The 27,644-nt window shown below is 48.6% G+C and overlaps 1 protein-coding gene across 3 annotated transcripts in view, besides 10 other annotated features; it reads right to left on the reverse strand.

Moving 5' to 3' along the window:
* OPA3 (outer mitochondrial membrane lipid metabolism regulator OPA3) overlaps positions 1-24,118 on the reverse strand; it is a 57,376-nt gene extending 33,258 nt beyond the window's left edge. For all 3 annotated transcript variants that reach the window (NM_001017989.3, NM_025136.4, XM_006723403.5), the window contains exon 1: positions 23,939-24,118. In NM_001017989.3, the coding sequence (NP_001017989.2) occupies positions 23,939-24,080 (142 nt within the window). In that variant the 5' untranslated portion in view covers positions 24,081-24,118. The remainder of the gene's footprint in view (positions 1-23,938) is intronic.
* Positions 1,168-1,966: an enhancer, noted in NCBI's record as "H3K4me1 hESC enhancer chr19:46065110-46065908 (GRCh37/hg19 assembly coordinates)". NCBI's record gives its function as "activates a minimal SCP1, AML or CMV promoter by ChIP-STARR-seq in naive and primed H9 embryonic stem cells {active_cell/tissue: H9 hESC(naive and primed)}" and the evidence as "EXISTENCE:reporter gene assay evidence [ECO:0000049][PMID:30033119]".
* Positions 2,765-3,562: an enhancer, noted in NCBI's record as "OCT4-NANOG-H3K27ac-H3K4me1 hESC enhancer chr19:46066707-46067504 (GRCh37/hg19 assembly coordinates)". NCBI's record gives its function as "activates a minimal SCP1, AML or CMV promoter by ChIP-STARR-seq in naive H9 embryonic stem cells {active_cell/tissue: H9 hESC(naive)}" and the evidence as "EXISTENCE:reporter gene assay evidence [ECO:0000049][PMID:30033119]".
* Positions 3,563-4,360: an enhancer, noted in NCBI's record as "OCT4-NANOG-H3K4me1 hESC enhancer chr19:46067505-46068302 (GRCh37/hg19 assembly coordinates)". NCBI's record gives its function as "activates a minimal SCP1, AML or CMV promoter by ChIP-STARR-seq in naive and primed H9 embryonic stem cells {active_cell/tissue: H9 hESC(naive and primed)}" and the evidence as "EXISTENCE:reporter gene assay evidence [ECO:0000049][PMID:30033119]".
* Positions 3,752-3,801: a silencer, noted in NCBI's record as "silent region_10781". NCBI's record gives its function as "represses an Ori minimal core promoter by ATAC-STARR-seq in GM12878 lymphoblastoid cells {active_cell/tissue: GM12878}" and the evidence as "EXISTENCE:reporter gene assay evidence [ECO:0000049][PMID:35858748]".
* Positions 16,578-17,213: an enhancer, noted in NCBI's record as "NANOG-H3K4me1 hESC enhancer chr19:46080520-46081155 (GRCh37/hg19 assembly coordinates)". NCBI's record gives its function as "activates a minimal SCP1, AML or CMV promoter by ChIP-STARR-seq in naive H9 embryonic stem cells {active_cell/tissue: H9 hESC(naive)}" and the evidence as "EXISTENCE:reporter gene assay evidence [ECO:0000049][PMID:30033119]".
* Positions 16,691-16,840: an enhancer, noted in NCBI's record as "active region_14801". NCBI's record gives its function as "activates an Ori minimal core promoter by ATAC-STARR-seq in GM12878 lymphoblastoid cells {active_cell/tissue: GM12878}" and the evidence as "EXISTENCE:reporter gene assay evidence [ECO:0000049][PMID:35858748]".
* Positions 20,291-20,791: an enhancer, noted in NCBI's record as "H3K27ac hESC enhancer chr19:46084233-46084733 (GRCh37/hg19 assembly coordinates)". NCBI's record gives its function as "activates a minimal SCP1, AML or CMV promoter by ChIP-STARR-seq in primed H9 embryonic stem cells {active_cell/tissue: H9 hESC(primed)}" and the evidence as "EXISTENCE:reporter gene assay evidence [ECO:0000049][PMID:30033119]".
* Positions 21,291-22,226: an enhancer, noted in NCBI's record as "H3K4me1 hESC enhancer chr19:46085233-46086168 (GRCh37/hg19 assembly coordinates)". NCBI's record gives its function as "activates a minimal SCP1, AML or CMV promoter by ChIP-STARR-seq in primed H9 embryonic stem cells {active_cell/tissue: H9 hESC(primed)}" and the evidence as "EXISTENCE:reporter gene assay evidence [ECO:0000049][PMID:30033119]".
* Positions 22,227-23,162: an enhancer, noted in NCBI's record as "H3K27ac-H3K4me1 hESC enhancer chr19:46086169-46087104 (GRCh37/hg19 assembly coordinates)". NCBI's record gives its function as "activates a minimal SCP1, AML or CMV promoter by ChIP-STARR-seq in primed H9 embryonic stem cells {active_cell/tissue: H9 hESC(primed)}" and the evidence as "EXISTENCE:reporter gene assay evidence [ECO:0000049][PMID:30033119]".
* Positions 23,998-24,177: an enhancer, noted in NCBI's record as "active region_14802". NCBI's record gives its function as "activates an Ori minimal core promoter by ATAC-STARR-seq in GM12878 lymphoblastoid cells {active_cell/tissue: GM12878}" and the evidence as "EXISTENCE:reporter gene assay evidence [ECO:0000049][PMID:35858748]".

Consider the following 27,644-nt stretch of genomic DNA (forward strand, 5'->3'; position numbering starts at 1 on the left):
CCTTTTCTCACTCGACTGTCACATCTACTTCCAGGGGCCACTCAGAACTTCAGGACCCAAACTCCTATGCTCAGATCTCTCTCAGCCCCGGAGCTCCAGGCCACAGGCACTTCAGACACTCTAGGTCACAACACAGTGGCTGACCAAGCCCAGAGAGATTTCCCCGGGAAAGGAGGGATATCTTAACCCACTGAGGCAAGTAAAGTGACGTACTTGGCCACAGTTAACTATTGTTCAAGATTTTTCTGAGCATGAAACTGCAGGTGGCTGGAATGCAACCCTTTCCTCAGGAAATGTGCTGCTAAGACCAAACAGCTCCCTCCGTGGTGGGGGACCGGGGCTCGGGAGCTTATGCACAAATAGGACAGGCCGGGCGCGGTGGCTCACGCCTGTAATCCCAGCACTTTGGGAGGCCGAGGTGGGTGGATCACCTGAGGTCGGGAGTTCAAGACCAGCCTGACCAACATGGAGAAACCCTGTCTCTACTAAAAATACAAAATTAGCCAGGCATGGTGGCGCATGCCTGTAATCCCAGCTACTCGGGAGGCTGGGGCAGGAGAATCGCTTGAACCTGGGAGGTGGAGGTTACGGTGAGCCGAGATCATGCCATTGCACTCCAGCCTGGGCAACAAGAGCAAAACTCCATCTCAAAAAAGAAAGAAAGAAAAAAAGGACAAAGCACCTCTTCCCCACTATTGGGAACACGCCTGCATACGATGGCTGCTTCCTTGTAAAATGAAGGGAAGGTATTCCTCATAGGGTCCACTACTCGATGGTGAAGGGTCGTCATAAGGACACAGTAGTGACTGCTAGAGCCCACGATGGCAAGACGGCCATGACGAACATGCTGGCTACTGAGAGGCTAAATCCCGTGGAACCGGTAACCGGAACTGTATACTAGGGAGGAGGGAGAGGTTATTTAATATGGGAGAGGGAAAGGAAAAACATCAAATCCTTATCTTTCATACAAGGAAGTTGGCTGATAATAAAAGATGGGGAAGATCCCAGCACTTTGGGAGGCCGAGGCGGGCAGATCACCTGAGGTCAGGAATTTGCAACCAGCCTGACCAATATGGTGAAACCCCGTCTCTACTAAAAATACAAAAATTAGCTGGGCGTGGTGGCAGGCATCTGTAATCCCAGCTACCCGGGAGGCTGAGGCAAGACAATCGCTTGAACCCGGGAGGCAGAGGCTGCAGTGAGCCGAGACCATGCCAGTCAGTGCACTCCAGCCTGGGCAACAGAGCGACACTCCGTCTCAAAAATAAATAAATAAATAATAAAATAAAATAAAAATAAAAAAATGAAAGATGGGGAAGAAATAATAAAAGATGAGAAAAAAATTTCCAAATGAGGAATGTTTAGAAATTCTCTTATTAGGGCCAGGCATTATGGCTCACGCCTATAATAATCCCAGCACTTAAGAGGCCGAGGCACTGGATCACTTGAAGTCAGGAGTTCAAGACCAGCCTGGCCAACATGGCAAAACCCCATCTCTACTAAAAATAAAAAATTAGCCGGGAGTGGTGATGCACACCTGTAATCCCAGTTACTTGGGAGGCTGAGGCAGGAGAATCGCTTGAATCCAGGAGGCAGAGGCTGCAGTGAGCTGAGATGGTGCTGCACTCCAGCTTGGGTGATACAGTGAGACTCCATCTCAAAAAAAAAAAAAAAAAAAAGAAAAGAAAAAGGAAAAAGAAATTCCCTTATTAAGAAACATGATAGGCCGGGGGCGGTGGCTCACACCTGAAATCCCAGCACTTTGGGAGGCCAAAGCAGGTGGATCATGAGGTCAGGAGTTCAAGACCAGTCTGGCCAACATGATGAAACCCTGTCTCTACTAAAAAAAAAAAGATTAGCTGGGTGTGATGGCGCACGCCTGTAATCTCAGCTACTCAGGAGGCTGAGGCAGGAGAAGCTCTTGAACCTGGGAGGCAGAGGTTGCAGTGAGCTGAGATCGCGCCACTGCCCAGCCTGGGAGACACAGCGAGACTCAGTCTCAAAAAAAATATAAATAAATAAAAGAAATGACACCTAAATGAACGTGCATTTCTGGAGAAGATCCTGGAACAGGCAGAAAAGGACACCAGTGGAAACACTGCTGAGATAGGAATGAGGCCTGCAGGCTTTATACCAGTGTTCATTTCCTGGGTCGCCTCATTGCATTGTGGTTATGTAAAATGTTATCATCCGGAGACTCTGGGTGAAAGGTATGTGGGAACTCTCTGTACTTTTATTGTAACTCTTCTGTGGGTCTAAAATTAGTTCAAAGTAGAAAAATGAAAACAGAAACAGCCCCCAGGTGGCTCGACTGTGAGGAAATGGACCTTCTCACCCATTTGCTGGTGTAAGTGTAAATCCTTGCACACCCTGGAGTCAGTCATTCTGCTTCTGGGCATTTATGTCAGGTTCACCCGTCCAGGTGGGAAAGGCCTTGCTGGGCTCCTTAATCCTGCAGCATAGTGTATGATAACAATTTTTTTGTTTGTTTTAGAGTCGGAGTCTCACTGTGTCGCCCAGGCTGGAGTGCAGTGGCTCGATCTTGGCTCACTGCAAGCTCCGCCTCCCAGGTTCACACCGTTCTCCTGCCTCAGCCTCCTGAGTAGCTGGGACTACAGGCGCCCGCCACCATGCCCAGCTAATTTTTGTATTTTTAGTAGAGACGGGGTTTCACCGTGTTAGCCAGGATGGTCTCGATCTCCTGACCTTGTGATCCACCCGCCTCGGCCTCCCAAAGTGCTGGGATTACAGGTGTGAGTCACTGTGCCCAGCCTATGATAACAATTAAAAAGCCAAGAGAGACCCTCTGACACTATAATCTCACAAATTCCAGCATTTCTGTCAGCAGCTGAAATAGAGTAAGGAAGTCTTGTTTTTTGTTTTTGTTTTGAGACAGGGTTTCACTCTGTCACCCAGACTGAAGTACAGTAGCAGGATCATGGCTTACTGTGGCCTGGAATCCCAGCGATCAAACAGTCCTCCCACCTCAGCCTCCCAAGTAGCTGGGACTACAGGCGCACGCCACCATGCCCTGCTAATTTTTGTACTTTTAGTAGAGATGGGGTTTCACCATGTTGGCCAGGCTGGTCTCAAACTTCTGACCTCATGATCCACCTGCCTCGGCCTCCCAAAGTGCTGGGATTACAGGTGTGAGCCACCGCGCCCGGCCTTTTTTTTTTTTTTTAAATACAGATGAGATTTTGTCATGTTGCCCAGGCTGGTCTTGAACTCCTGAGCTCAAGCAATCGGCCTGTCTTGGCCTCCCAAAGTGCTGGGATTACCGGTGTGCACCACTGTGCCTGACCAAAACAGATAATTAAAACTTTTTTCAAAAAAATCAAACAAGCCACCTTGGCCCCCAGGATTCCACAGGTTAAGCCTATACCTCTGCACCTCTGCTCCCTCCTCAAGACCCAATAAAATAGCAGTCCTGGAAGGAAAGACAGCAGAAGCCACAAGAACAAAGAGAAGCATCAGGGTGGGGGTGGGGGGGTTGGGAGGGTATGCGACTAGGCGGAAGGGGAGGGAATCAATGCAAGCCTTGAGGCGGGAGCAGATGGCTGAGAGGTAACTGAGCCAGCAGGGAGGCTGCTGAGACCTAGGCACCCTGGAAGGGGGGCAGGTAGAGGGAAGAAGGGGAGAGGGGGAAAGGGCGGTGACAAGAAGCAGAAGGAACTGGAGACTAGGACCACACATGCAAAGTGACTGAGGGTGGGGTTAAGCCCAGGATCCCTCCTTGACTGGGGGTAAACCAGGAGGACTCTGAGAACAGCCCAGGGGGCAAGTGCCACACTGAAAACAAGCCTGTTCCTCTGGCATGGGGCTGGTGGGCAATGCAGACATCAAGAGCCCACTCAGCCTTGGCCTTGAACTCCAGTAACCCTGCCTGGTGTTGCTGGGGACAAAACCACACCTGCCACTGAGGTCCAGATAGGGGCTCTGCTTAGCTGTGAGCCTGGCCATGAGGTGATGACGATGGGAAGGATCTGGGTCAAAGACATCCCAGTGGCTCCCAGACCCCTGCTTCTCTGTCTCCCTCCAAAGCCATTTAAAAATACACCAACTATCTCTTTTTTAAGAGTTTGCATTGTTCCCTGCTATCTTTGAAGTTCCACCTACATTTTACTTTCTCTATAAAGTTTTATCCTAATGTGACTTTTTTATGCTCAAATGTCCTATCATAAGTCTCTGAAACAAAAATGTATCTATAAATTAAAATCAAAAATTTCATTCTTTGTGATTTTAGTTAAAACTTTTCTCGGCCGGGCGTGGTGGCTCACGCCTGTAATCCCAGCACTTCGGGAGACCGAGGTGGGCGGATCACGAGGTCAAGAGATCGAGACCATCCTGGCCAACATGGTGAAACCTCATCTCTACTAAAAATAAAGAAAAAAAAAAAATTAGCTGGGCGTGGTGGCACACGCCTGTGGTCCCAGCTACTTCGGAGGCTGAGGTAGGAGAATTGCTTGAACCTGGGAGGCGGAGGTTGCAGTGAGCCGAGATGGTGCCACTGCACTCCAGCCTGGTGATAGAGCAAGACTCCGTCTCAAAAAACAAAACAAAAAACAAAAAACAAAATTTTCTCTTGGATTGCATTATCATGCAATTTCTATTAGTATACCACTGATCGAAACTGCACGCATTACATAATTTGATGTCTAGTGGCTGGGCGTGGTGGCTCACGCCTGTAATCCCAGCGCTTTGGGAGGTCGAGGCGGGTGGATCACCTGAGGTCAGGAGTTTGAGACCAGCCTGGCCAACATGGTAAAAACCCGTCTCTAGTAAAAATACAAAAATTAGCCGGGCATGGTGGCATGACCCTGTAATCCCAGCTACCCGGGAGGCTGATGCAGGAGAATCGCTTGAACCTGGGAGGCGGAGGTTGTGGTGAGCTGAGATCATGCCATTGCACTCCAACCCGGGCGACAGAGTGAGACTAACTTTTGTATTTAGTCTAATTACGGCTAATTTTTGTAATTCTAGTAGAGACAGGGTTTCACCATATTGGTAAGGCTGGTCTTGAACTCCTGACCTTAAGTGATCCACCTGCCTCAGCCTCCCAGAGGCTGGGATTATAGCCATGAGCCACCGCGCCCGGCCACAAAAAGATTTTTAAATTAGCTGTACGTGGTGGTGCATGCCTGTGGCCCCAGCTACTCAGAAGGCTCAGAAAGGAGGATCACTTGAGCCCCCAGGTTCAAGGCTGCAGTGAGCCATGATCCTGCCACTGTACTGCAGCCTGGGTGACAGAGTGACACTTGGTCTTAATCAAATCAATCAATCAATCAAATCTGACAAAGACATACAAGAAAATAAAATTATAGAATATGTCACTGATGACCACAGATGAAATCTTTAGGAAAATATTAGCAAACGAAAGCCAGCAATATATAAAAAAGATAATATAGCATAATCAAGTGGGATTTCTGCAGGAATATAAGATTGGTTTAATATTCTTTTTTTTATTATTATTATTGTTTTTTGAGATGGAGTCTTGCTCTGTCGCCCAGGCTGGAGTGCAAAGGCGCAATCTCAGCTCACTGCAACCTCTGCTGCCAGGGTTCAAGTGATTCTCCTGCCTCAGCCTCCCGAGTATCTGGGATTACAGGCGCAGACCACTGTGCCCTGCTAATTTTTGTATTTTTAGTAGAGTTAGGGCTCTGCCATGTTGGCCAGGCTGGTCTCTAACTCCTGACCTCAGATGATAATACCCGCCTTGGAGTCCCAATGAGCTGGGATTACAGGAGTGAGCCACCACTCCCTTAGATGATCCACCAGCCTGATTTTTCTCTTTTTTTTTTTTTTGAGACGGAGTCTCGCTCTGTCGCCCAGGCTGGAGTGCAGTGGATGATCTCGACTCACTGCAACCTCTGCCTCCTAGGTTCGAGTGATTCTCCTGCCTCAGCTTCCCAAATAGCTGGGACTACAGGCACGTGCCACCATGCCCAGCTAATTTTTTTTTTGTATTTTTAGTAGAGACAGGGTTTCACCATGTTGGCCAGGCTGGTCTCAATCTCCTGACCTTGTGATCCGCCCGCCTTAGCCTCCCAAAGTGCTGGGATTACAGGCGTGAGCCACCGCACCTGGCTCAGCCAGCTGCTTATAAAATTAAATATAACCTTACCATATAACCCAGAAATTTTACTCCTAGATAATTACTGGGAGAATTTCATTTCTACCAAGAGAAATGAAAACATCCATATAAAGGCTTGTACACAAATGTTCATAGCACCTTTACTTGCAATAACTTGGAAACAACCCAAATGCCCATCACTAGGACAGTTATTAAACAAAGCATGGCATATTCATATACTGTAATAAAAGAAAAGAATACACTTTTATTAAGAGTAATAAACAAAATAACAAAATAAACTAGACAGGCATGGTGGCTCACACTTGTACCCCAGCACTTTGGGAGGCCAAGCGGTGAGGATCACCTGGGCCCATGAGTTCAAGACCACTATCGGCAACTTAGTGAGATCCATCTCTACAAAAAATAAAATAAATTAGCCGGGCATGGTGGCATGTGCCTGTGGTCCCAGCTACTCAGGAGGCTGAGGCAGGAGGATCGCTTGATCCCAGGAGGTTGAGGCTGCAGTGAGCCGTGTTTGTGCCACTGCCCTCCAGCCTGGGTGACAGGGGGAGACCCTGTGTCAAAAAAAAAAAAAAAAAAAGAAGAAGAAGAAATGAACTATTGATACATTCAGCAAGAAGTATCTCAGAAGTATCAAATGAACAAAAGCTAAACATAAATTTCATAGTGTATGATTCCATTTATATCAAGTTGAACAACAAGCAGAACTAATCAACAAGGAGAGAAGTCAGATAAGGAGACAGAGCAGGGGAGGAGGGACCTTTCTAGAGTAATGACGATGTTTTATATCTTGGGTACTAGTTACATGGGTATATGCATGTACCAATACTCATTGAACTGTAGCCTTTAGATCTGTACCTTGCATTGTACAGATACTATATCTCAACAAAGAATATACCAAAAAAATCAAGTGCCAATAATTAAACATAAGAGGAGGAGTTTGGGAGCCAGTGGGATATGACTTCTTATCCTGTACTGCCTCAGGGAACCTGTTTCTCTCGCTTTGAGAGATTTCCTCACTCATAAAACCAGGATGGTCATAAACTCCCTAAATAAGGTGGTTAAGATCATTTGCTGAGATAATGGAAAGCATATTAAATAAAAGCTGTTATTATCAGTCAATAAATTATTATTCAGGGTAAACGTAGCTTCAAGCCAGTCTCTGCCCTGGTTGCACTTCCCCAGATGTGATCCAGTCAGATGATGATGATGATGACAATGATTATTACTGTTATTTTGAGACACAGTCTCACTCTATCACACAAGCTGGAGTGCACTGGTACGATCTCAGCTCACTACAACCTGAGCCTCCAAAGGTCAAGTGATTCTCCAGTTTTAGCCTCCCAAAATGCTGGTATTACGGGTGTTGGCCACCCCACCTGGCAATCCAGTCAATTTATTTATTTATTTTGTTATTTATTTATTTTTTGAGACAGAGTCTTGCTCTGCCACCTAGGCTGGAGAGCAGTGACACAATCTCGGCTCACTGCAACCTCTGCCTCCTGGTTTCAAGCCACCCTCCTGCCTCAGCCTCCCGAGTAGCTGGGATTACAGGCATGCCCCACCACATCTGGCTAATTTTTGTATTTTTAGTAGAGATGGGGTTTCACCATGTTGGCCAGGCTGGTCTCGAACTCCTGACCTCAGGTGATCCGCCCACCTCGGCCTCCCAAATTGCTAGGATTACAGGTGTGAGCCACTGTGCCCCCGCCCAATCCAGCCAGTTTTAAGCTTGCCCTAACAGTGCTCCAAGTATTAACAGAATTGTGCAGGCCGCAATAGGCAGTGCTTCCTCCCACAGACCTGGCTTGATCTTTCCATTACAGCAACCCGAGACTGCAGTAACACACAATGCTCCAGTTACCAGAGGGGCATGACTGGTTCCATCTGCCCAGCATCCTGGGGGATCCTATCTCCCCAACTTTTGGTTCAAGGGATTCAGGAGGAGGTAACCCCACTCCTGAGCCTGGCCAATTAGGGCACTGCTTTCCCTGGGCCACAGAGACGGTGCTGGGATGGGGATGTGACGCAGGGTGGACCACTGGATTCAGCCTGGGAATTTGGCAGGAAATCCGGGATGAGGCACCCCTCTGTGCCCTGGGGTCACTAGGCAGGTAACTAATACCCTCAAATGTGCCCCATGAGAGCAAGGATCTTTGTTCTGTTGACTACTGAGTCATGCCTCTTAGAACAGTTCCTGGCACACAGCAGGCACTAAATAAAGATTTGTTGAGTGAATGAATTACTCAGCCTCCTAATGGACTGAAGCATAGCCACACCCCAGAAAATGATCCCCACCTCTACTCTCCTCCCAGGCCTGGAGAGACCAACTCAACTTGGTATAGAGGATACTCAGGGGTTTCTAAGGCTCAGAGGACGCAATTAACAGAGAGGCTAGGGCCGAGCGCTGTGGCTCACGCCTGTAATCCCAGCACTTTGGAAGGCCAAGGCAGACAGATTACTTGAGGTCAGGAGTTCAAGACCTCCCTGGCCAACATAGTGAAACACCGTCTCTACTAAAAATACAAAAATTAGCTGGGCGTGGTGGCGGGCACCTGTAGTCACAGCTATTCAGGAGGCTGAAGCAGAAGAATCACTTGAACCCAGGAGGCAGAGGTTGTAGTGAGCCGAGATCGCGCCACTGCACTCCAGCCTGGGCGACAGAGCAAGACTCTGTCTCAAAATAAACAAAAAAGATTTCAGAACAACTTCAGTGCGTCTGATTACCAGTGCTACTTTATATTATTCTCTACTGTCTTAGTAATTCCATCCTCCCCACCTCCATTAGAGTTTAGAAGCCGATACTCACCACTGCAACCTCCCATACACCAAGGGGTGGGAGGTGACCCGGTTGTGGTAAGCTGGCAGTGAGGGGAGTTTCCTGGGGGCTTCTGGAAAAGGATTTTCCTCCTTGAAGCGTTACCCTCACTTACCTGACCACCCGCCCCTCCATACACACACGCATAGACTTCCTCCCTTATGAAACATAAAGGCACAATGCCTGGAGCCGCAGCAGCCCTACTGAGGCCATGAGGACTGCCTGAGCACCAACACAGCAGAGATGGAGTCCTCAGGTTCCCAATGACACCACTGAGCCACCAAACCAACCAAGAACAGGCCTTCCTCAGGGCTTACTGAAAAGCCAGCAAAAAACACCCTTTTGATTTAAGGTTTGATTGACATTTACTGGCTGGGTTTTCAATTAATTACAGATGAGCACAAACTAATACAGAGATACACCGGGGTCAATGACCGAGATGGCCTCTGGTGCTTTCTCAGGCAGGCGCCATCCCCAGGCTGACACGGGCGCCCTCTCCTGTCCACTTGGCATATTGCTTGCAGCCAGCGCAAGTAGATTCCCTGGGATGCACTCAGGTTGCAAATCAGCCAGCCCTCTACACAGGGGCTTCTGAAAAAGATCCCTGTTCAGAAATCGGCCAGAAGATTTAGCCATGAGTACATGAGCAAATTCCAGCAAATGCCTCTGCATAATGAAGGGTGGGACTAAAAAAGGAGCAGCGAGATTAAACGCAGCCAATGACACACTTCTTCCATCTGAGACTATGTGCCTTAGTTAGGTCTTTGCCAGCTGTGACAGCCACATACAAAGAATGTCAAAGCTGGCTGGGAGCGGTGGCTCATGCCTGTAATCCCAGCACTTTGGGAGACTGAGGTGGGCAGATCACCTGAGGTCAGGAGTTCGAGACCAGCCTGGCCAATATGGTGAAACCCTATCTCCAATAATAATACAAAAAAAAATTAGCTGGGCATAATGGCACACCCCTGTAATCCCAGCTACTTGGGAGGCTGAGGCAGGAGAATTGCTTGAACCTGGGAGGTGGAGGCTGCAGCGAGCTGAGATTGAACCACTGCACTACAGCCTGGGCGACAGAGTGAGACTCCATCTTGGGGAAAAAAACAAAAACAAAACAAAATTAGCCGGGTGTGGTGGCAGAAGCCTGTAATCCCAGCTGCTCGGGAGGCTGAGGCAGGATAATCACTTGAACCTGGGAGGTGGAGGTTGTAGCGAGCCGAGATTGTGCCACTACTCTCCAGCCTGGGCGACAGAGTGAGACTCTGTCTCAAAAAAAAAAAAAAAAATTCAAAGCCAGACTCTCACAGAGGGTTTCACCAAGAGTTTCCAAATTTACTTAATAATGTCTGCATAGGAAAATGTTTTCGGTGACAGCAAAACTATTTGGGGGGGGGGGGCATGAATAAATAAGTTTATTTTAAAAATTTTTATGTTCGTTTCATCCCTCTAATTTTTGTGTATGTTTTTAAATGCATATAATATAACCATACTATTATATGTTAGCGCTATACATGACTGCTAAATACTTTCATTTATTTATTTATTTACTTATTTTATTTTATTTTTTTGAGACAGGGTCTTGCTCTGTCGCCCAGGCTGGAGTGCAATGGTGCGATCTTGGCACACCGCAACCTCCACCTCCCGGGTTCAAGCGATACTCTTGCCTCAGTCTCCCAAGTAGCTGAGATTACAGGCATGCGCCACCATGCCCAGCTAATTTTTTGTATTTTTTTAGTAGAGACGGGGTTTCTCCATGTTGTTCAGGTTGGTCTTGAACTCCCCGCCTCAGGGGATCCACCCGCCTTGGACTCGCAAAGTGCTGGGATTACAGGCATGAGCCACCGTGCCTGGCTGACTGCTAAATAATTTTACATATGTGTACACACGTGCATACATATATGCTAGGGAAGGAACCTCAGAAGTGTTTCCTTGATAGGAGAACATAATAATAAATGTTTGGAGGTCACCAGCAGCAGCCTGGCTGCCATATAATATAACTGATGTGACGCTCTGGTGATTATAAATAAACTCCAGCAAAGTGATTTTCAAACACTGGTGCGTGTGAGAATGTACTCTAGAGACTGCTAAAAATAAACACGTCCACCCCTTCCCTACGTCCACCAAATCAGGACCTGCAGGTAGCACTCCTGGGCATCTACTGGAAGTGCCCCAGAAAGCTCACTAGTTTTCCTCCATATTGTGCACCTTTCAGCTCCCCAATCCTCTTGGCAGTTGTGTTTAACCTGGTGGTTAGTTAGCCCTTCTATTGAGAGCTGAACACCAACTGTTGTAGCTGTCCTTTCTAGAAGTTTTGTTTAATTCTTTTTCCAGCTTCCTGGCAATTTTTCATTTTACTTGTGTTTTAATATCCTTCTCTTTTATCCTCTTAACAGATAAGCTTAGGTATTTTATATCCACATCTGATAATTCCACGTTTGCAGGCTGTGACCTGCCATGTTTTTCTGCTGGCTCTCGCTCATGGTGGCTGCTTTTTTCATGTGGTGTATATATATATATCAATATATATTGATATATATATATATTTTGTATTTTTAGTAGAGACGGGGTTTCTCCATGTTGGTCAGGTTGGTCTGATATATATATGAGATATATATATATCTCTCATATATATCGATATATATGATTATATATCTCATATAAATAAAAAATAAAAATATATATAGTATATATATCGATATATATCTCATATATATCGACATATATGAGATATATATCGATATATATCTCATATATATCGACATATATGAGATATATATCGATATATATCTCATATATATCAACATATGAGATTATCGATATATATCGATATATATCATGATATATGTATATCAATATATGATATATATCATATATCATATAATAATCATATATATCGAGATATATGAGATATATATCATATATGAGATATGAGATATATATATCATATGATATATATATCATATATGGATATATATCATGATATATGTATATAAATATATATATTGATATATATCATATATATCATGATATATGTATATAAATATATATATCGATATATATCATATATATCTATATGAGATATATATCTATATATATCATACTATATATATGATATATCTCAATATATACCTATATATCATACTATATATATAGATATATATCTCGATATATATCTATATATATCATACTATATATAGATATATATATCATACTATATATATAGATATATATCTCGATATATATCTATCTATATATATTTTTTTTTTACTGTGAGCTTGTATGTGCTGGAACTCTATCTGAAGGATTTCTCCAAGGCCTGGGCAGAGAGAGCACAGGCAGGAAGAGTTTATGTTTGCCCTTGCCAGGTGCTTAGATACAATTAGGTACCCCTAGGGGTTCATTCTCAGCCTGCAACTTCCAGGACCTTTCAAAGAGGCCCCAAGCCCACATGAGGGACAGTCAGTGGCTACAAATTCTCAGAGGAGAATGTATCAGTCTCTACCTAGGGCAAAGCTTGTGTGCCTTCAGACGGAGGTTTTTTTCTAGTTCACCAGGTACCTTGCCAGAGACCTGGTTCTACACAAGGCTGTTGCCTGCCCAATTCCCCCACAGCATAGTCCCCATCCCCCAGGCCAAGTGATACGGTGTGGCTGTGTCCCCACCCAAATCTCATCTTATATTCACACGTCTCACTAAAAATACAAAAAATTAGCTGGGCATGGTGGCACATGCCTGTAATCTCAGCTACTCGGGAGGCTGAGACAGGAGAATCACTTGAACCCAGGAGGTGGAGGTTGCGGTGAGCTGAGATCACGCCACTGCACTCCGGCCTGGGCAACAAGAGCGAAACTCTGTCTCAAAAAATAAACAAATAAAATGAATAAATAAGTAAATAAACATGTACAGAGTACTTGAGGGCCAGGTACAGTTCTATGTTTTATGGATCTTAATATCCACATAACAACCCAATTACAAGCATAAAACTGAGGCCCAGAGAGGTTAAATAACTCTCCCTGGGGTCACACAGAAAGTGGCAGAGCGGGGACAGATAAGCAGGCAGCCTGGTTCGAGGCCGCGCTGCAAACAGTAAACAGTAAACACTGTTTACTGAATGGTGCTGAGGGAACATCAGAACTATGAGGTTAAGTGCTATTCGGTACAGAAAGGCAGAGGGACTCATGCAGGACACACACCACGTAAACAGCAGGGCAAGGATCTGAGTGCACGAAGTCTTTATCTAGAAGCAGAGGTTTTGGCACTTGGGCAGTAATGACAAGAAGGGATTCCGGCTGGGTGCGGTGGCTCACGCCTGTAATCCCAACACTTTGGGAGGCCACAGCGGGCGGATCACTTGAGGTCAGGAGTTGGAGACCAGCCTGACCAACATGGTGAAACCCCGTCTCTACTAAAAATACAAAAATTAGCTGGGCGTGGTGGCAGGCGCCTGTAATCCCAGCTACTCAGGAAGGCAAAAGCCTGGGCAACAAAGTTAGACTCCATCTCAAAAAAAACAAAGGGGGCTGGGCGCAGTGGCTCACGCCTGTAATCCCAGCACTTTGGGAGGCTGAGGCGGGCGGATCACGAGGTCAGGAGATCGAGACCATCCTGGCTAACATGGTGAAACCCCGTCTCTACTAAAAATACAAAAAATATTAGCTGGGCGTGGTGGCGGGCGCCTGTAGTCCCAGCTACTCGGGAGGCTGAGAGGCAGGAGAATGGCGTGAACCCGGGAGGCGGAGCTTGCAATGAGCCAAAATCGTGCCACTGCACTCCAGCCTGGGCGACAGAGCAAGACTCTGTCTCAAAAAAAAAAAAAAAAAAGAAAAAAAAAACGGATTCCATGTATACCCCCTGTAGCCTGTAGTAGCAACCAGATGGGCATGTCCCGGGCCAGGGCTCGCCTATCCACTATCCTGCTGCATCCTCACAAGAATCCTGGGAGATAAGTTCTATTAGTATCCCATTTGATAAATATGGAAATGGAGGCTCATAGAGGTCAAGCTGCCTGCTCAAAGTCACATGGCTAATAAGCAGCAGTGCCAAGATCCGAAGCCAAGAGTGCCTACTCTGTGGCAGACTGTGCCATCAGGGACCCCTTCGTATCACACCCTGTGCAGTTCTTTCCCACACCCACTGTGGTCTGTGCCTGGAGCTGCTTTGACCAATAGTGTGGTGGAAATGACGCTGGAAGATTCCAGGCCTTGCCCTTAAATAACCTGCAGCTTCTGCTTCTTCCCTCATGAAAATCTGGCTGTTGGGGAGTCCTGAGCAGCCATGTGAGATATTCAGCTACCCTGCAGGAAAGACCACGTGGAGAAGAGAGGCCCAGAGGCTACGCTGAGAGGGAACCAACTCCCCAGTCCCAGTGCCAGTTCCAGATGACTCCAGCCCAGCCACCTCCACCTGCACCTGGATGAGAGCCTGCCAAGCAGCAACCAGCAAAAGAACTGTCCGGCTGAGCCCAGGCAAGCCACAAAGGTAACAGAAACTAAGAGTGACTGGGTTTTTTGTTTGTTTGCCTTTTTGAGACAGGGTCTTGCTCTGTTGCCCAGGCTGGAGTGCTGTGGCACGATCTCGGTTCACTGCAGCCTCCACCTCTCTCAGGTTCAAGCGATTCTCCTGCCTCAGCCTCCTGAGAAGCTGGGACCACAGGTACCCGCTAAATTTTTGTATTTTTAGTAAAGAAAGGGTTTTGCCATGTTGCCCAGGCTAGTCGCGAACTCCTGGCCTGAAGTGATCCACCCACCTCAACCTCCCAAAGTGCTGAGATTACAGGCATGAGCCACTGCACCTGGCTAAGAGTTACTACGGTAAGCCACCAAGCTTTGGATCAGATGGCTATGTAGAAAAAGAAAACTGAAACCAAGTCCATGGCCTAAATTCATAAGAATGGCCACAGAGCTGAGCACTTCTGAAAAAATGACCTCAGCAACCTGAATGAATGATCATGGTGTATCTGTTTCCCACGGCCACTATAACAAACTACCACAAATGCAGTGGCTTAAAACAGCACAAATTATTATTATTATTTGAGACAGGGTCTTGCTCTGTCACCCAGGCTGGAGTGCAGGGGTGCGGTCACAGCTCACTGCAGCCTCATTCTCCTGGGCTCAAGCAATCCTGCCGCAGCCTCCTGAGTGGCTAAAACTATAGGCATGCATCACCATGCCCCACTAATTGTTTTTTATTTTTAGTAGGGACAAGGTCTCGCTTTGTTGCCCAGGCTGGTCTTGAACCCCTGGGTTCAAGTGATCCTCCTGCCTCGACCTTCTAAAGTGCTGGGATAACAGGCATGAACCACCGCACCTGCCCTAAATTTATTATTTTACAGTTCCAGAAGTCAGAAGTCTGAAATGGGGGCCAGTTGTGGTGGCTCACGCCTGTAATCCCAGCACTCTGGGAGGCCAAGGCGGGTGGATCACCTGAGGTCAGGAGTTGAAGACCAGCTGGCCAACATGGTGAAACCCCCGTCTCTACTGATAATACAAAAATTAGGGCATGCGCCTGTAATCCCAGCTATTCAGGAGGCCAAGGCAGGAGAATCGCTTGAAACCGGGATGCAGAGGTTGCAGGGAGCTGAGATCATGCCACTGTAATCCAGCCTGGGCGACCATGTGAGACCCCCTCTCAAAAAACAAAACAAAACAAAACAAAAAACTGGGCGCAGTGGCTCACGCCTGTAATCCCAGCACTTTGGGAGGCCAAGGCAGGTGGATCACCTGAGGTCAGGAGTTCAAGACCAGCCTAGCCAACATGGTGAAACCCTATCTCTACTAAAAATACAAAAAATTAGCCAGGTGTGGTGGTGGGTGCCAGGTGTGGTGGTGGGTGCTACTCAGGGGACTGAGGCAGGAGAATCGCTTGAACCCAGGAGGCAGAGATTGCAGTGAGTTGAGATCGTGCCACTGCACTGCAATCTGGGCAACAAGAATGAAACTCCATCCCCCCCCCCCCAAAAAAAAAAGTCCAAAATGGCTTTCACTAGGCTAATCTCAAGGTGTCCGCAGGGCTGTGTTCCTTTCTGAAGTCTCCAGTGGAGAATCCATCTCCTCGGCTTTTCCAGCTTCCAGAGGCTGCCCGCATTCCTTGGCTCATGCCTCCCTTCCTCCATCTTCAAGGCCAGCGGGGCAGCATCCCTCAAATCATTCCCTCTCTTGCCTCCCTCTTTCCCTTATAAGGACCCCTGTGATCACACTGACCTGACCTGCATAATTCAGGATCATCTCCCCATCCCCAAATCCTTCATTTGATCACATTTGCAAAGTCACCTTTGCTGTGCATGGTAACATATTCAACAGGTTCTTGGGATAAGGATGTGGACATCTTTGGGGGACCAGTCACTCTACTGCCTACTGTGTGTGATAAACCAGAAAAAGGACCAGTGCGCGCCAAAGGAATAAACACAGATGAGCTGGAATTTTCCTACTGCCCAGAGATATCTCACAGCCTCCCTGGGAGCACCAAAAGTGCACTTTGCAGGCATGGCCTCAACCTGCCTAACATCACCAACCTCCTTTACTTTTGGGTTAAAATAATTTAAACAAAGGAATTCTGTGTTTAAAAAGATCTTTGCCTCCCCAACAGGGTGCATCATCGATGATTTATGCTTCTAGCATGTACTGTTCTTTCCTCAGGCAGCCACAGCTACTGCTCCAGCCTCTCCTGTGAGACAGCTGGGCGCAGCCTGCTGAGTCAAAAGTATCTCAGCCAAAGGTACAGATACTGGATTTGCTGGTCAGCTCAGGACGCCTGACCTGAGAGAAAGCAGGGCCGCCAGTGCACCCTGGGAAATTCCAATCACCATGGCTGGGGGCCACAGCAAAGGGCAATCAGCAGTGTGAAGACACTAATGATGTAATTAAAAGGTGTAAATGTAAGAAGCCAGTACATTGCAATATCTGGTAGCATCTCCAACTCGACCTGTCCCTAACTGAGCTCCAGGTCTTTCTGTCCAACCTGCCCCTCCTCCAGTCGGCTGTCTCACACCCAATCCATGGGAAATCCTGCTGGCTCTACCTTGTAAACAAATCTACTGGTTATTCATTACTAAGAGGAAAAGGAAAGGTTCTTGACATGGTTACACCTTAACCAAGCGATCCAAATCACCATCACAAATGACAGAACAAATAGACCTCAGGAGTCCCCTGAAGGGATGTCCTTAGGAGGCACCTCGAGTCTGTGGTGTTCCCGCCAAACATGTTCAACATGAATCCAATCGGGGAAGCAATCAGGAGACTCCAGACATCGGGACACACTATCAATCAGAGGACTGGCTCCAATGTCAATGTCAAAAAACAAGGGCAGGGATACTATTCTAGAGCAGGGTCAGAAAACTCTTCCTGTAAAGGGGCAGAGAGTAAATATTTTAGATTTTGAGGCCAGGCGTGGTGGCTCACGCCTGTAATCCTGAAACTGCCTTTGCAAAATTATGACTGACACAGCAAAAGAGATCTAACTTGACTGACTCCATCTTACTTCCAACCTCCAAGCTGTCCTTGTTCATTCCTGAGTGAAGGCTGAACTAACTTTGGGAGAAACTTAGTTTATAGTTTAAACAAACATGGTAACAGCCCTTTCCCAAAGCAGACCTCCTTCTTGCCTGGTGACTAGATTGCCTTTGTAGGACTAACATTAGCCACAAGATTAGAAATTATGGTTTAGGAGTCATGCAGCTGGAGGATACAAGATTCTGACCCTCCCTAAACTGCTCCTAAGATCAGTGCTTGAGATATTCTGCAGACTCTGCACTTGATGGATCAGCTGGCCCCACCCAGATCAAAAAATTGGCTCATCTGATCTTGTGCCCGCCCTCCCCCTCCCCCACCGCCACCCAGGAACTAACTGAGCACAAGACATCTCTGAATTCCTATGATTTCATCTCTGACCAATCAGCACTCCTGGCTCACTGGCTTCCCCTCACCCACCAAGTTATCCTTAAAAACTCTGCTCCCGGGCCAGGCGTGGTGGCTCATGCCTGTAATCCCAGCACTTTGGGAGGCCAAGGCGGGCAGATCTCCTGACGTTGGGAGTTAGAGACCAGCCTGATCAACATGGAGAAACCCCATCTCTACTTAAAATACAAAATTAGCCGGGCGTGGTGGCGCATGCCTGTAATCCCAGCTACTCGGGAGGCTGAGGCAGGAGAATCACTTGAACCCGGGAGGCGGAAGTTGTGGTGAGCCAAGATCACACCATTGCACTCCAGCCTGGGTGTCGGAGTGCGACTCTGTCTCAAAAAATAAAATAAAATAAAATAAAACAGAACTCTGATATTGTCCTTCTGCTGCACAGAACCCTCCAGTAAGTCCTGTTCCACTCAGAGTAAAGCCAAGGCATTTGCAGTGACCCACAGGCCCCATACAAACTGTCCCCCTTTCCCGTCATCAGTTTCCTCTGTCCTGTGTGCCAGGCACGCTCATGCCTCAGGTCCTGTGTGCATGCGGGATCCTCTGGGCTGGAACGTTTCTTCCCCCAGATGGCAATGCTGCTCGTTCCCTCCCTCCTTGGCATATTTTCAGTGAGTTCTCCCTGACAATCCTATCTAGGCTTATAGCCTTCCTTTAAATACTCCTTGTTCTACAACCCTGATTTTTTTCCTAGAGCAATTATTGCTATCTAATATACTTCATCTTTTAACTATTTTTTGAGATGGAATCTCACTCTGTCACCCAGGCTGGAGTGCAGTGGTGCAATCTCGGCTCACTGCAACCTCTGCCTCTTGGGTTCAAGTGATTCTCCTGCCTAAGCCTCCTAAGTAACTGGGATTACAGGTGCCTGCCACCACACCTGGCTAATTTTTGTATTTTTAGTAGAGATGGGGTTTCACCATGTTGCCCAGGCTGGTCTCAAACTCCTGACCTCAAGTGATGCACCAGCCTCAGCCTCCCAAAGTGCTGGGATTACAGGCATGAGCCACTGGGCCCAGCCAACTATTTATTTCATTTATTGTCTGGCTTCCTCCACAAGAATGTAAGGTACCTGAGGGCAAGATGTTTTGCTTTTTCCTGCCTGTTGTATCTATAACATCTACGTGACAGCCATGACCCTATGCCAGGCACTGACTTAACATTTTATATCCATTTACTTAATCCTCACCACAACACAATAAATATTATTTACAGCATAATGCATACATAGTATATACACAAAATAATAATAATAATAATAATAGTATCTACCTCATCATAACTGGTGAGGACCCAGTGCCAGAGGCTGGAAGGTGCTGCAGACAAGCCGTGGCACAAAGTACAAGCCCAGTTAATGTGACCATTACATAATACCCAATGTACAGAATCGGAAATTGAAGCTAAGAGGGGCTAAATGACGTACCCAAAGTCACCAGTCTGGGTAGGGATTCAAACCTATGTCAGTCTGACTCCAGAAGCCATTTTCTTTCTTTTTTTTTTTCTTTTTTTTTTTTTGATATGGAGTCTCGCTCTGTCACCCAGGCTGGAGTGTAGTGGCACGATCTCGGCTCACTGCAACCTCCGCCTCCCATGTTCAAGTGATTCTTCTGCCTCAGCCTCCCGAGTAGCTGGGATTACAGGCGCGTGCCACCACGCCCAGCTAATTTTTGTATTTTTAGTAGAGAAGGGGTTTCACCATGTTGGTCAGGCAGGTCTTGAAATTTGACTTCGTGATCTGCCCACCTTGGCCTCCCAAAGTGTTGGGATTACAGGCGCGAGCCACTGCACCCGGCCTTTTTTTTTTTTTTTTTGAGACAGAGTTTCACTCTTGTTGCCCAGGCTGGAGTGCAATGGCGTGATCTCGGCTCACTGCAACCTCCACCTCCTGGGTTCAAGCGATTCTCCTGCCTCAGCCTCCCGAGTAGCTGGGATTACAGGCATGCGCCACCACGTCTGGCTAATTTTGTATTTTTAGTAGAGACGGGGTTTCTCCATGTTGGTGAGGCTGGTCTCTAATTCCCGACCTCAGGTGATCTGCCTGCCTCGGCCTCCCAAAGTGCTGGGATTATAGGTGGGAGGCACCGCGCCCAGCACAGAAGCCTATTTATTTATTTATTTATTTATTTATTTATTTATTGAGACAGAGTCTCGCTCTGTCGCCCAAGCTGGAGTGCAGTGGTGTGATCTTGGCTCACTGCAACCTCTGCCTCCCAGGTTCAAGCAATTCTCCTGCCTCAGCCTCCCAAGTAGCTGGGACTACAGGTGTGCGCCACCACACCTGCCTAATTTTGTATTTTGAGTAGAGACAGGGTTTCACCATGTTGGCCAGGCTGGTCTTGAACTCCTGACCTCATGATCCACCCACCTCCGCCTTCCAAAGTGCTGGGATTACAGGCATGAGCCACTGCGCCCAGCTCCAGAAGCCATTTTCTAAACCACAACGCTAAGAATGTCACAGTGTTTGGAAGACAGGCAGAGACAGGAAACAAACTGGGTCTAGGAATTCAGTGTCCAAAGTTTCGCCTCTGGCACAAATCTCTGCGTATGACCTGAGCAATTAACTGCTGCCCTCAACACCTCCATTTTCCCTTCTATAAACCAGAGGAAGTCATTCCTCTTTCCGGACATGGGGACAAAACAGTTGTGGGGGTCAAATGAGATGGCTAACAGGAAAGCACTTTGGTAACTGTGAAATCTAATACTTTCCCATTCTAAGAGCTGCAGCCCCAACAAAGACCCCACCAAACACCGAACAACCAAGAATTCCGGGCCCTGGAAAGCAAACTTTAAGCATCCAAACTTACAGAGGGGGAAAAAAAGTGCACTCCCTTAATCATGTGGGCTTTGTGTGTGCTCCTCCCTCTGCCCCAGTGCTTTCCTTACGCCTTGTCCTGGTGTTGTCCTCACCCTTCAGGTCCCAATTCAGATGTCTCCTCTGCCAGGAAGCCCTCCCTGAACCCCATGCCATGTCAGGTGCCCAGTGGGCTCCCCCATCTCAGCTCTGCCCACTGTTGGGGGATACGTCTGTCCCCCGCAGGACTAGGAATTCCTTGAGGGCACAGATTGGTGCTGGTTTGGTCCCTGCTGTTTCGCCAGCATTGCCAGCACAAGGCCTGGCACAGGGCAGAGGCTCACAAAATACCAGCTAAAGGAAATAATGAATGGATGGAGGGATGAATGGTGTGTAACCGCCCAAGGAGTTCACCTTGCCCGCTGCCTAGACAGAGCTGATTCATCAAGAGAGGAGAACTGCAAGACAAAGAGTAATTCACGCAGAGTTGGCTGTGCGGGAGGGTGTTTTGTTTGTTTGTTTGAGATTGAGACAGTCTTGCTCTGTTGCCCAGACTGGAGGGCAGTGGTGCAATCTCGGATCACTGCAACCTCTACCTCCTAGGTTCAAGCAATTCTCCTGCCTCAGCCTCCTGAGTAGATGAGATTACAGATGTGCGCCACCACACCCAGCTAATTTTTGTATTTTCAGTAGACACGGGTTTTCACCATGTTGGTCAGGCTGGTCTCGAACTCCTGACCTCATGATCCACCCACCTCGGCCTCCCAAAGTGCTGGAATTACAGACGTGAGCCACCGCGCCCCAGCCAGGAGTCTTACCATTACTCAAATCAGTCTCCCTGAGCATTCAGGGAGATTTTATTTTTATTTTATTTTATTTTTTTTTTTTGAGATGGATTTTCACTCTTTCGCCTGGGCTGGAATGAAGTGACGCGATCTTGGCTCACTGCAACCTCCATCCCCGGGTTCAAGCGATTCTCATGCTCCAGCCTCCCGAGTAGCTGGGATTATAGGCGCCCGCCACCAAGCCCGCCTAACTTTTGTATTTTTAGTAGAGACGGGGTTTGACCATGCTGGCCAGGCTGGTTGCAAACTCCTGACCTCAGGTGCTCCACCCCCCTCAGCCTTCCAAAGTGCTAGGATTACAGATGCGAGCCAATGGGCCCAGCTGGAGCAGAGTTTTTTTGTTTTTTGTTTTTGTTTTGAGACGGAGTCTCGGTCTGTCGCCCAGGCTGGAGTGTAGTGGTGCGATCTCGGTGGAGCAGAGTTTTTAAGGATAACTTGATGGGTGAGGGGAAGCCAGTGAGCCAGGAGTGCTGATTGGTCAGAGATGAAATCACAGGGAGTCGGAGCTGTCTTCTTGCGCTCAGTCAGTTCCTGGGTTGGGGGGCCACAAGATCAGATGGGCCAGTTTATTGATCTGGGTAAGGCCAGCTGATCCATCAAGTGCAGGGTCTGTGAAATATCTCAAGCACTGATCTTAGGAGCAGTTTAGGGAGGGTCAGAATCTTGTACCCTCCAGCTGCATGACTCCTAAACCATAATTTCTAATCTTGTGGCTAATGTTAGTCCTACAAAGGCAATCCAGTCGCCAGACAAGAAGGAGGTCTGCTTTGGGAAAGGGCTGTTACCATGTTTGTTTAAACTATAAACTACAAACTAAATCTCTCCCAAAGTTAGTTCAGCCTTTGCCCAGGAATGAACAAGGATAGCTTGGAGGTTAGAAGCAAGATGGAGTAAGTTAACTTAGATCTCTTTCGCTGTGTCAGTCATAATTTTGCAAAGGCGGTTTCAGTGGTTCTCTGACCCAGCCAATGATGCTAAATTCCCTTATTTTATGTCCCACGTAGCACAACACAGATCACCTTTTTTTTTTTTGGAGACGGAGTCTTGCTCCGTCACCCAGGCTGGAGTACAGTGTTACGATCTCGGCTCACTGCAAGCTCCGCCTTCCGGGTTCACGCCATTCTCCTGCCTCAGCCTCCTGAGTAGCTGGGACCACAGGCGCCCAGCCACCACGCCCGGCTAATTTTTTTGTATTTTTAGTAGAGATGGGGTTTCACCGTGTTAGCCAGGATGGTCTCCATCTTCTGACCTCGTGATCTGCCCACCTCGGCCTCCCAAAGTGCTGGGATTACAGGCGTGAGCCACCGCGCCCGGCAAGATCACCTTTTTAAAGTAGTTTATATTTTGGGTGTTTACTAAGCCCTTTATTTCTATTTATTATTTTTTGAGACAGTCTTGCTGTGTCGCCCAGGCTGGAGTGCAATGGCACAATCTAGGCTCACTGCAGCCTCCACCTACCAGGTTCAAGCGATTCCCCTGCCTCAGCCTCCCAAGTAGCTGGGATTACAGGTGTGCGCCACCACACCCAGCTAATTTTTGTATTTTTAGTACAGACCGGGTTTCACTATGTTGGCCAGGCTGGTCTCGAACTCCTGGCCTCATGTGATCCGCCCGCCTCGGCCTCCCAAAGTGCTGGTATTACAGGTGTGAGCCACCGCGCCGGACCTTACTATGCCCTTTAGATCTGAGCTCGGGCGGCCCCCTCTAGGCAGCCCTGCTGGCCTCAGGTCCCTGGGTCAGCCAGTTCCTCTGAGCTCCGGGGCTCCCACTTTCCCGACCACTCTGGGTTGACAGTGATGGATCAGGAGTATATCTCCCAGTGCTGAGCAAAAAGGCCGCATAGTCTGTCAACCGAATGAAAGGACGGCGTATGAGCGCATTAATGAGTACACAGATGAATGTCCTCTCTGGCTCAAAGTCCTTTTCCGGATTCCCAGGCCATGTCTCCAGAACCCAGACTTCACCCCCGAACCATGCCCCTAATCCAGACTTATTGACTACAGTAAAACTGAGGCACGTCGACGTCCTAAACGGAGGATATACAAGCACCTCCTAGATCAGTGGGGAAACTGAGGCACACGGTGCCGCTTTTGAAATGAAGTTGCCCAAGGACAGCCGGGCAAAGGACCCCGTCCGGTTTCTCCTCAGCCCCTCCCCTAGCTCCTCTATCCTGGAAAGCCCCGTCCAAATTTCTCCCATCTCTCACACTATTGGTTTAACAGGGCATCAGTCTCCAAGCGCTCTCTTCCTTTATCGGCTGGCATTTCCTACTCGCGTGGTGGCTCCTTGACCCGCCCCTTACGCCCCGCCCCGCCCTCACTACTGGGCCACCCGTACGCCCCTCTATCAGAAACCCCCCACTATTGGCCACTGGACTTTGCCGGTTCGGGCTGTGATTGGTCGTAGACAGAAGTCCATCCCCTAAGCAACCACCTGACAGGGGTTGGAGAAAGGAAAAAGGTTGGAGGGAATTCGGGTCAGACTCACGTTGAGCCGGCGGGAGGCAGATATAGGTCTTGAAGAACTCGCTTCGGCGGGCGGCCTCCTTAATACGGTTGGCAAGCGGCTTGCTGACCTGCCGGATGCCCAAGTATAGCAGCTTCGCCATAGGGAACGCGCCCACCACCATCTTGGCGGTCTCACAGGGCACGCGCAACCTTGCTGACTGGGCGGGGCGCCTCAACCTCTTCACTCCTCCCCCGCCCTCTCGTGGCCATGCGTGCGTCAGTACGTATGTACGTACGCTCGAGGGAAACTTCAGAGGCGCATCCTGACGTCACCCCGTCGACGCTGGCGTAGCGACGTCCGTTCGCTGAATATGCAAATATACACGGAAGTGAGGCGGGTCAGGGGGCGGTGCCGTTAAACGGATGCTGGAAGGCGTGTGGATTCCCACGCCCGCCTTGGCCAACGTCACTGTACTCCTTCGTGATGTCACGTTCCGAGTTGGCGTCCCCACCCAAAGGAGGCTCTTAATTAGTCCTAATTAGTCCTATGAGCCCCAAATACACCTTCCTCTGCAAGCTAGGGCTCTCATTGGGATTAAGAGGAAGCCGCGCGGTCATACAGACTTTGGCTGGGATCCCAGCTCTGCCATTTCCTCGCTGTGTAATATTAGATGAGTGGCATAACCTCTCTGGACTTCAGTATTACCGTCTACCAAATGGGAATCCTAATAGCAGTTGCCTCTTTGGGTTGTTGTGAGGCTTCTATGCTAATCTTGAGTGTAAAACAGTGGACCATGGGAAGTGGTTAGAATGGTGCCATTCATATAGTTAAGCGCTCAGTAAATAGCCCTTCTTACTATACAGGTCATGATTGCATTATTAATGCTAAATCCAGCCTGAGGGTGCATTTCACCCCCAGAAGCAGCGAATCCAACCCTTTCCCAAGTAACTGACAAGGAAACTGAGGCCCAGAGCAGGGCAGGGGGTGGCACAAGGTTCCTGCAGAGGTTGATAGCCTGGCATCTTGGCCAATAAAACCATACCCGTTCTCAAGCAACCCAACTTCCTTCATTAGGAGGTAGGTTCCCCAGGGAGCTAGTTCAGAAATAAATTTAAGGACATGTCCCAGACTGTCCTTTCTTACCCAGCAGGGAGTAAAATCATATAAACAATGTCAGGAAGGGGTTGAGAGAAATTCCTGGATGATGGAGTGCTGATGGGTAATTGAGAGATTCTCGGAGGCAGAGGGACAGAAGAAAACAGGAACAGAGGACTGGCCGCCATGGCTCACGCCTGTAATCCCAGCACTTTGGGAGGCTGAGGAGGGTGGATCACCTGAGGTCAGGAGTTTGAGACCAACCTGGCTAACATCGTGAAATCCCATCTCCACTAAAAAAAAAAAAAAATTTAGCCGGGCATGGTGGCGGGCACCTGTAATCCCAGGTACTCTGGAGGCTGAGGCAGGAGAATCGCTTGAACCTGGGAGGTAGAGGTTGCAGTGAGCCGAGATCACGCCGCTGCACTCCAGTCTTGGCGACAGAGCGAGACTCCGTCTCAAAAAAAAAAAAAAAAAAAAAAGGAAAACAGGAACAGAGGAGTGGTGTGTAGGAGGAAACATACATTCAGGACACAGAATCAGGGGGCTCTGGACTTCTTTGGTATCCAGTCTGACTCTCTGAGTGTCCTTTGTCAAGCTCCTGGCACTGAGGGACCTGCGTTTCCTCATCTTTACTGATGGTGCTGGTGTGTGTGTGAACCCTGATATTCTGAATTACTAAGAATGCCAGGATTCCATAAAAACAACCTTTTCCAGGGTCCCTTCCACACGGAAGGTATGCAGAAACTTGGGACTACCTAAGGTCCATCATCCATTTGGGACCAGCCCCCTTCCCATTTTACAGATCGTTTGAGCCTGGGAGGTTGAAGCTGTGGTGAGCCATGAGCTCCACTGCACTCCAGCCTAGGCAACACAACAAGACCCTGTCTCAAAAAACATAAAATTTCTGTCCCCAGGCCGGGCGCAGTGGCTCACGCCTGTAATCCCAGCACTTTGGGAGGCACAGGTAGGCGGATCATGTGAGGTCAGGAGTTCGAGACAAGCCTGGCCAACACGATGAAACCCCATCTCTACTAAAAATACAAAAAATTCGCTGGGCGTGGTGGCGCACACCTGTAATCCCAGCTACTCCAGAGGCTGAGACAGGAGAATCACTTGATCTCGGGAGGCGGAGGTTGTAGTGAGCCGAGATCGTGCCAATGCACTCCAGCCTGGGTGACAGAGCGAGGCTCTGTTTCAAAACAAAACAAAAAAAATTGGCCGGGCGTGGTGGCTGACGCCCAGCACTTTGGTAGGCTGAGGTGGGCAGATCATGAGGTCAGGAGATCGAGACCATCCTGGCTAACACGGTGAAACCCCGTCTCTACTAAAAAAATACAAAAAATTAACCGGGCGTGGTGGCGGGCGCCTGTAGTCCCAGCTACTCGGGAGGCTGAGGCAGGAGAATGGCGTGAACCCAGGAGGCGGAGCTTGCAGTGAGCCGAGATGGCGCCACTGCACTCCAGCCTAGGCAACAGAGTGAGACTCCATCTCAAAAAAAAAAAAAATTGGCCAGGCACGGTGGCTCACGCCTGTAATCCCAGCACTTTGGGAGGCCGAGGCGGGTGGATCACCTGAGGTCAGGAGTTTGAGACCAGTCTGGCCAACATGGAGAAACCCCGTCTCTACTAAAAATACAAAATTAGCAGAGCGTGGTGGCACATGCCTGTAATTCCAGCTACTCGGGAGGCTGAGGCAGGAGAATTGCTTGAACCCAGGAGGCGGAAGTTGCGGTGAGCCGAGATCGCGCCATTGCACTCCAGCCTGGGCAACCAAGAGCGAAACTCAGTCTCAAAAAAAAAAAAAAGAGAGAAAAGAAAAATTCTGGCCCCATCACCTCCATTCCCATAGCTTTACAGCAGTGGGATGGGGTGGGAAGACTACTAGGCCTCCCAGATCCCAGGCCTCCCTCTCTTCTCTAGCCCTCCAGCCCACCAACACCAAAGCCCTGATTTCCGCCATCTCTGTGCTCCCTCCACCCCAGAAAAATCATTGAGTGCATTTTTCCCCCTATTCCTCTCCTCCTTCTTCCTTTCTCTGAGAAGGGTTCCCGGGAAAGTCTTCTGGGAACCTTTGTGAAGGGAGAGGAGGGCCCGGGGGAGCGGGGTGGTAGGAGGGTTGTGAGTGAATCTTCACACCTCAGGAGTCTGTTTACACACCCGTAAGGAGGAAGAGGAGAGGAGACCTTCTCTGAAGGGTGAGGCCTTTTCAGAGCTGGGTGCTTCTTCCTGCTCTCCAGCCTGGTCATGGAACAGTGGCCATTCCTGGTGACCCCTGAGACCAGGGGAGGGAGGGCAGCCTTGGCCATCCTGGGGCATGGGAACACAAGCAGAGATGGGGAGGGGAGAGGGAACCCAAGATGGCTCCAGCGCTGACTCACCAGCCATGGGACCTTGGACTGGTTGCCTGGCCTCTCTGGTGACCGCCCTAGACTAGGGCCTGGGATCCTTCCTGGAAGTTTTTTCTGCTCACAGCCCCTAGTCACCCTTTTCCTGGAATGAGTGAGGTACTCGTGTTTCATAATCCCTCTGGCCCCTGTGCTTCTTCCATTAAAATAAATCCAAGGCTGGGCACGGTGGCTCAAGCCTGTAATCCCAGCACTTTGAGAGGCTGAGGTGGGAGGATCACTTGAGGCCAGGATTTCAAGATC

The sequence above is a fragment of the Homo sapiens genome, chromosome 19 (assembly GCF_000001405.40).
Source record: "Homo sapiens chromosome 19, GRCh38.p14 Primary Assembly".
Classification (NCBI taxonomy): Eukaryota; Metazoa; Chordata; class Mammalia; order Primates; family Hominidae; genus Homo; species Homo sapiens.